This window comes from Homo sapiens, chromosome 2 (genome assembly GCF_000001405.40).
Source record: "Homo sapiens chromosome 2, GRCh38.p14 Primary Assembly".
Classification (NCBI taxonomy): Eukaryota; Metazoa; Chordata; class Mammalia; order Primates; family Hominidae; genus Homo; species Homo sapiens.
In genome coordinates, this window is record NC_000002.12 from 21,147,326 (window position 1) to 21,156,396 (window position 9,071).

At 33.7% G+C, this 9,071-nt stretch overlaps 1 annotated feature.

The window, feature by feature from the left end:
• Nucleotides 8,452-8,746: a silencer, noted in NCBI's record as "tiled region #2464; K562 Repressive non-DNase unmatched - State 24:Quies". NCBI's record gives its function as "represses a minimal TATA promoter and a strong SV40 promoter by Sharpr-MPRA in K562 cells {active_cell/tissue: K562}" and the evidence as "EXISTENCE:reporter gene assay evidence [ECO:0000049][PMID:27701403]".

Sequence of the window (9,071 nt, forward strand, 5' to 3'; positions counted from 1 at the left end):
ATTATAGTTCCAGATAAAGAATAGAATAGGTTATATATATTTTTTCCATTGTGGACATATATTGCTAAATGAACAAGATGTTTTTAGTTGTCACATAGAATTATATATATATAACATGTTATATAATTATAGTATATGTTATACATATACTATATGTTATATATACTATATGTTATACATATACTATATGTTATACATACTGTATGTATATGTATAACATATATACATATGATGTATAACATAGTATATATATAACTTGTTTACTCTCAGTATTTTTCCTTGTTTACCTTTTATACTGTGACTTAGAAATTGTTAAGTAAAATGAATTGTTAAGTAAAAGTTTATAGTTTATAATAATTTTTAAATGAATAAGTCTTGAGTAACTCTTAATGAGACCCATAATGCTTTGAAGATTATATTACAATATACTCATGATTTTTTGTTTTTCAGTAGAAGAAAATGGAAGCACAGATCACTTATGCATTAGTTTGGTAACAAATGATATATAGGATACCCAGTAATTACTATCTTGGTTTAGACACTGTAGAGCTGGAGTAAAGGTGTTAAGCATAGTACGACAACTTCCAATGTTAAATCATGTTAAATGAATCTAGATTTTTCAGATTTTTTTCCCCAGGAGACCATGTTAGATTGTTAGATTGCTGTAGAAATTTTCTGTGACCTAGGACATGATGCGTTGATTTTAAAAAGATTATTACTTAGTAAATGTGGTTCACCAGTGTGAGATGGCTTGAAAATATTTTATTTGATGAACTCTTCTTCTTTGTATGTGGTTTCAAAGGCAATAAATACCATTTTACCTTCTGATACTTTTCACATGTCTTCCCTGTCCTTTGTTTCAGTTCCTACTTTGTTGAGTTATAATTGCAACTGTGGTTAGTATATAGAGAGTTAGTGCTACCATTTCCCTGGAAAATAGAAGTGCTTGTAAGAGTGGCATTTATTAAAAGGAAATAGAGGAAAAATCAGACATAATCTCTTCTTTCCTTGTGTTTAGCTCATAATATGATAATTTTCTATCATTTTATTTTTAGCAATATTTAATTTTAGTTGGGTTTTATATTTTTGGTTATTAGGTTATTAGCTACTTGGAGATATTTGTGATATTCAAGAACAGTACGTCCAGCAGGGAAGGGGAATCAATATTTTGTCATGCATTTACTATTGAATTGGAATTTATTTTGCAAGTAAATATTAATTGAGCAAGTTCAGGGTATTATTTTGATGCAAAGATAGAACCATAAAATTATACAAGTGCACTGAAGAGTTAGAGTAAGCCAAACAATTCTGAAGAACTTGATATGGGGTGGTTTAAAGAATATTTGCAAAAATTTAGAAAATTCCTAAGCAAGCTAGGGACAATCAAGTGTGTTAATATCTGTATGTCTGTATTGAGCATGTTGATATTGTCATTTCTTTGATGTTGGGAAATAATTTCCAGAAACACTGTAAGTTTGAATTTGGTATCCTGAAAGTTAAAGTTTACTTAAGAGTTGGAAACTTTATGTATGTATTTTTTCAAACAAGTTCATCTCTAGTTTGTGGTTATTTGAGAACAAACAATGTAACATTTACTTTTTGTAACCTAAACTCTCTGAACACTTTTGTGTCATTCCCTCTCCCCTAAGCCCTGCCAGATCTTGAAGATTATTTCCACAATTATGAAGAATATCTCCTTTGGAAAAGAATTCATTTTACACAACAACTTCTTCTTTTTTTTTTTTTGACAAAGTCTTGCTCTGTCACCCAGGCTGGAGTGTAATGGTGCTTGGCTAATTTTGTATTTTTAGGAGAGACGGGGTTTCACCGTGTTGGTCAGGCTGGTCTTGAACTCCTGACCTAAGGTGATTCACCCACCTCGGCCTCCCAAAGTGCTGGGATTACAGGCATGAGCCACTGGGCCGGGGCTCCACATTTTACAGAACTTCTATAGCTGTTGTATCACCGGGGTGCTTTTGTTGTTTAGTCACCATAAAATATGGCAAAGTTAATGATTTTGGTTTATTAAAAAGAAAATTAGTTTGAATGTCAAAGAAAAGGCATTATGATGCCTTTTTTTTTTTGGAGGGGGGCACCAATTTAATCAGGAAGGACCAATCATTTGCCTTTAGTTTTCAGAGTTCCCTTAACTTCAGTTATGTCTTAATGTATAATATTTTATATTTGGAAATGATAAAAATATACAAACTAGAAAATTTATTTGCAGCATTTAAATTATTAAATCCTGCAGAAAAAGATATTTTGACAAGTCTACATTTCAGTTAAAATGTTTTTTTTTTTTTTTGAGATGGTGTCTCACTCTGTCGCCCAGGCTGGAGTGCAGTGGCGTGATCTCGGCTCACTGCAACCTCCTCCTCCTGGTTTCAAGATATTCTCCTGCCTCAGCCTCCCGAGTAGCTGGGACTACAGGCACCCACCACCATGCCCGGCTAATTTTTGTATTTTTAGTAGAGACGGAGTTTCACCATATTGGCCAGGCTGATCTCGAACTCCTGACCTTGTGATCTGCCCGCCTCGGCCTCCCAAAGTGCTGGGATTACAGGCGTGAGCCACACCGTGCCCGGCCATTTCACTTAATTTTAATTGATATTTTTCCTATTTGGACAGAAGACCAATAAAGAAAATAGCTGAAGATATGTTTGAAACTAGGTTGCCTTCTTTTAAGATAGTTTATAATTTAAAACTAGCTTTTTTGTTTTATTTTTTATTTTGAAAGTATTATTTTTCAGCCTGTTATTTTATTATACTGTATAATTATAACTAGATGTGTAGTAATAGTGTAGTTTTATTCAGAGTACTTTCAAATAAAAACAAAAAGTAGTGTTTTTATCTTAGTATTTATATTTTCTTAGGATTAAGTTTTATTTTATAGGTTATAGTCAACATTGGAATAATGCTTTTTTTCTACCCTAAAACATTTGTGTTAATTTAAGTTAGTAAGATCTGTTATTTTATAAATGTTGGCAACAGATTTTTCTTTAAAAATTTGGAGAACAGTAGAACATTTAAGTTACTACATAAAATATTTCAAAGCTTAGGATTGTTAAATCTTTTAAATTTTTTCCTTCCTAATTTTATTCTATATAAAGAATGAGCTTTCAATCTAATGTAAAATGGCTTTCAACTTAGAAAAAAAGTGATTCGTTAGTAAACTGGTTAAGATTATTGATATTTTTAAAAATAACATTCACATATACATTTTCAAGGCTGTATATTGATGTGAAATAAAACACTCAGGTCAAAAACTGTTAAATAAAGACAAATTATTCAGATATTTGTATTTTGGTAGCATAATTATTGTGATTTTAAATCTTCTCCATGAGCGCCTGAGTAGGTTAAATTTCAGAGGCTCTGAACTTTTTTTGTTTTTACTTTTTAAATCTGTGTATCTTAATATCAGCTTAACTTTTTTGATTTTTAGAGGAATATTGAATTCTAATATCACTTTTTAAGCAGTTGTGATATTGTTGCTATTATTTGTGTATATCCAAGGGACCTTTTTTTTGGTTTTGTATATTGATTATTTTGAGTTAAAATTTTTTCCTCAGTAAGTGTATATTCCTAAAGTCTGAAATTATGTATGTGTTTTTGATATTATAATATGAATTTCTTGTGATGAAATACTGAATTCACTTTAAAATTTTTCTTGACCAAAGATAATCATTACACATTTTTTCTGTTCCCAAAACATATGAGTTCTTTTTTGTTCTTTCTTTATTCTTTCACTTTTGTTTATTTTTAATTTTAATTATATGTTCCAGGGTACATGTGCAGGATGTGCACTTTCGTTACATAGGTAAACATGTGCCATGGTGGTTTGCTGCCCCTATCAACCCATTACCTAGGTATTAAGCCCCAGCATGCATTAGCTATTTTTCCCAATGCCCTCCCTTCCCCCACCCCACCCCCCAACAGGACCCCATGTATTTGTTCCCCTCCCTGTGTCCATGTGTTCTCATTGGTCAGCTCCCACGTATAAGTGAGGACATGTAGTGTTTGTTTTTCTGTTCCTGCCTTAGTTTGCTGAGGATAATGGCTTCCAGCTCCATCCATGTCCCTACAAAGGACATGATGTCATTCCTTCTTTATGGCTGCATAGTATTCCATGGTGTATATGTACCACATTTTATTTATCCAGTCTATCATTGATGGGCATTTGGGTTGATTCCATGTCTTTGCTAATGTGAATAGTGCCGCAGTGAACATATGCATGCATGTATCTTTGTAATATAATGATTTATATTCCTTTGGGTATGTGCCCAGTAATGGGATTGCTGGGTCAGGTGGTATTTCTGGTTCTAGATCTTTAAGGAATCGCTGCACTCTCTTCCACAATGGTGGAACTAATTGACATTCCCAGGAACAGTGTAAAAGTGTTCCTATTTATCTGCAAACTCACCAGCATTTGTTGTTTCTTGACTTTTTAATAATCATCATTCTGACTGGTGTGAGACAGTATCTCATTGTGGTTTTGATTTGCATTTCTAATCATTAGTGATGTTGAGCTTTTTTTCATATGTTCGTTGGCTGCATGAATGCCTTTTTTTTTTTTTTTTTGAGACTGAGTCTCGCTGTGTCGCCCAGGCTGGAGTGCTGTGTCGCCCAGGCTGGAGTGCAGTGACGCGATCTCGGCTCACTGCAAGCTCTGCCTCTTGGGTTCACACCGTTCTCCTGCCTCAGCCTCCTGAGTAGCTGGGACTACAGGCACCTGCCACCTCGCCCGGCTAATTTTTTGTATTTTTAGTAGAGACAGGGTTTCACCATGTTAGCCAGGATGGTCTCAGTCTCCTGACCTTGTGATCCACCCGCCTTGGCCTCCCAAAGTGCTGGGATTACAGGCGTGAGCCACTGCGCCCACCTGTGAATGTCTTTTTTTGATTAAGTGTCTGTTCATGTCCTTTTTCCACTTTTTAATGGGGTTGTTTGTTTTTTTCTTGAATATTTAAGTTCCTTATAGATTCTGGCTGTTAGACCTTTGTCAGATAGATAAATTCCAAAAATTTTCTCCAATTCTGTAGGTTGCCTGTTCACTCTGATGATAGTTTCTTTATGTCAGTATCCCTCTGAACACTGATGCAAAAATTCTCAATAAAATACTGGCAAACTGAACACAGCAGCACATCAGAAGGCTTATCCACCATGATCAAATTGGCTTCAATCCTGGGAATCAAGGCTGGTTCAACATACACAAATCAATAAACATAATTCATCACATAACCAGATCTAAAGACAAAAACCACGTGATTATCCCAATAGATGCAGAAAAGGCCTTCAATAAAATTCAGCATCCCTTCATGTTATTAAAAACTCTCAATAAACTAGGTATTGAAGGAACATACCTCAAATTGATAAGAGCCATTTATGACAAGCCCACAGCCAATATACTGAATGGGCAAGAGCTAGAAGCATTCCCCTTGAAAACTGGCAGAAGACGAGGATGCCCTCTCTCATGACTCCTATTCAACATGACATTGGAAGTTCTAGCCAGGGCAATTAGAACAGAGAAAGAAATGAAAGGTATTCAAATAGGAAGAGAGGAAGTCAAATTGTCTTTTTTTGCAGATGACATGATCCTATATCTAGAAAAACCCATTGGCTCAGCCCAAAAGCTTCTTAAGCTGATAAGCAACTTCAGCAAAGTCTGAGGATACAAAATCAATGTGCAAAAGTCGCAAGCATTCCTATAAGGTAAGCAGAGAGCCAAATCATGAATGAACTCCAATTCACAATTGCTACAAAGAGAATAAAATACCTAGGAATACAGCTAACAAGGGAAGTGAAGGACCTCTTCAAAGAGAACTACAAACCACTGCTCAAGGAAATCAGAGAGGACACAAACAAATGGAAAAACAATCCATGCACATGGATAGGAAGAATCAATATCATGAAAATGGCCATACTGCCCAAAGTATGTAGCATTATAGATTAAATGCTATTTCCATTAAACTACCATTGACATTCTTCACAGATTTAGAATAAACTATTTTAAAATTCACATGGAATGAGAAAAGAGTTCTTATAGCCAAGACAATCCTAAGCAAAAAGAACAAAGCTGGAGGCATCACACTACCAGACTTCAAACTATACAAAAAGGCTACAGTAATCAAAACAGCATGGTACTGGTACAAAAATGGACACACAGACCAATGGAAAAAGAATAGAGAACTCAGAAATAAGACTGCGCATCTACAACCATCTGATCTTCGACAAACCTGACAAAAGCAATGAGGAAAAGATTCTTTAGTAAGTGGTACTGGGAGAACTGGCTAGCCATATGCAGAAAATTGAAACTGGACCCCTACCTTACACCTTATACAAAAATTAACTCAAGATGGATTAAAGACTTAAATGTAAAACCTAAAATTATAAAAACCCTAGTAGAAAATCTAGGCAATACCATTCAGGACATAGGCACGGGTAAAGATTTCATGATGAAATCACCAAAAGCAATTGCAACAGAAGCAAAAATTGACATATGGGCTCTAATTAAACTAAAGAGTTTTTGCACAGCAAAAGAAGGTATCCTTTCACCTTTAAAGGAACATTGGATTATTTTCATGCATCCCTTTTAAAAATTTATTTGGTCTGTAGTTTGTATAATAATTATCTCAATCTTTTTCAGAAATCTCCAATATTAAATTTAATTTTTTTCCTATATATAACTTTTAGAATGATTTTTTTCAGTATGGATTTTATAATGGAACTTAAGAATATGTAAGATTAGAATAGTGGTTCCCCTTTGGCTATATAATACATTAACAGTTCAGTGTGAAATCTAGGTAATATCTTCAATTTATTTTCTTTTCTCAATACTATTCATATTGTTTTTCCTTAGCACAGTGTTTATTTCTGTTTTTATGTCTTTACACATACTGATATCTTCTCCTTCCTACCAAATTATCCTCTTTTATAATCTTGTCACATTCTCTTCTAAGGTGCATTCATTCATCAAACATTTCAGAAGTGACCATATTAAATATTGGAGATACAAAAATGAGTAAGTGAAATTCCAGTTCTAAGATATTCCCAGTACAGTGGTGGAAACAAATAATCAGTTATATTAAGGTGTACTTTGATATGTAGCAAAGGTATATAATAGGTGTTCTGGATGGAGGACAGTGTGCCAAACTTCCTAGGATTGAGGAAACAGTTGAAAAGGAGTCTCAAAAATATGACCTGTGAGCCTGACTCTTGAAAGATAAGTGGTACAATTTTCTAGGGAACTTAGGCAAACACCTAAGAAAAGAAATTATAGAAGGTGTAGTACAGCCAAGCAAAGTTGACACATTACAAACACACTACTTTTGTTTGAAAATATTATTTCATCTGTATATTTGAATAATAGTTGCAATAGATACACAATTAGAAATGCAGAGTTATTTTCCCTCAGCATTGGAAAATGTGGTTCCATGCTGTTTTGACTTCCACTTTTGATCCTGAGAAGTCTCCTGTCTGCTTAGCAATAATTCATTTTCCTTATGAGTAGACTTTTCCTTCCTGGTCCTGTACATCTTCACGTTGTATTTGGTGTTTCACACCTAACACATTATTTATTAATGTTGTTAATTATGTTTATCCTGCTTGAGACTCTGAAATTCCTGAATCTAAAGATTGGTCTTTTTGTCCATTCTGGGATATTCTTAGCTGTTATATCTTTGTGGATTCTTGCCTATTATATTTTTCTTTGTACAGCTGTTTTGATACATGTGAATTATTATTATTATTATTATACTATGACTCAACATATTTTCCATATATTAGTCTCTCTGCATTGCATTCTGGGTAATCTCCTTACCCTGTCTCCCAAGTTAACTCTTCAGTAGTATTTAATTTGCAGTTTATTTTGAGTTACTAATTTTAATTATAGTTTTCCACTCTAGAAGTACTATTCCTTTTATTTTCATATTTGCTTGCTCATTTTTATTCTCTTCTGTTCTGTCCCAATTTCAGTGTCTTGTTTTATTTAACATATTAAGAATACTTAGTTTATACATGTATTTTATAATAGCGGTATATACACTCATTGTAGATACATATTTGCAGTTTAATAATTCTGTGAATTATTTTTTAGTTATTATACCTTATTTACCCATATGTTTTATGATTTTATTGTTAACTTGTGTTTCTTGATACTTTAACTGTGGAAATTCTTTAAGACCTGTGTTTAAAGTACTTCCTGCAATTGGAATTTGCAGGTTCTTTTGCCAAGTGCCTTGAGGGCACTTTCAGACCCAACCCCTGGCTTAGAGGTTTTTCTTGTGTTCAGGTAGTATAAATTCGAGCTGCCAATGCTTAAGGTTAGGAAAGCTTCAGAAAGTTTTTTTTTGTTTGTTTGTTTTTGTTTTTTTTTTAGTTTTACTTAAAGTCAAAATGCTGAAACATGTAAATAAGCCATTTTGTCTCGCAGTAGGTTGCTTTTTATTTCAGTCACTGGGATATCACTTTTGGAATCAGGAGTTATGCAAGAGTGTCTGATCAAACTTTTTACCCTGCTTGATTATCATTCAGTTTACTACTTTGCTTGTATTTACATTTGTACTTTTGAAACACAGGTTTAAGCGCTTTGGGTATCAGGAGCTGCATTCTAGCACTTGTTTACCTCTGTGGATTAGGCATTGATTTCTTAGATATGACTAAAATCACAAGTGACAAAACTGGACTTCTCAAAGTTCAAAAGTTTTGTTTCAAAGGACACCATCAAGAAAGTGAAAAGACTACCTACAGAATGGGGAAAATATTTGCAAACTATATAATAATTAACTAGTATCTACAATATATAGTGAACCTTTAGAACTCAACAGTTAAAAAGACAACCCATTTTAAAAATGGGGAAAGGTTTTGTATAGCAGCTTCTCTCAAGAAAATACACAGTAAACCCATGAAAAGGTGCTCACCATCACTAGCAACTACAGAAATGCAAAAACACAACTAAATAGCACTTGATATCCAGTGGATTGGCAAAAAAAAGTTATAGATAACAAGTACTGATGTGGATGCAGAGAAATTGGAACTTTCATACATTGCTAGTGGGATTGTAAAATCATGCATCT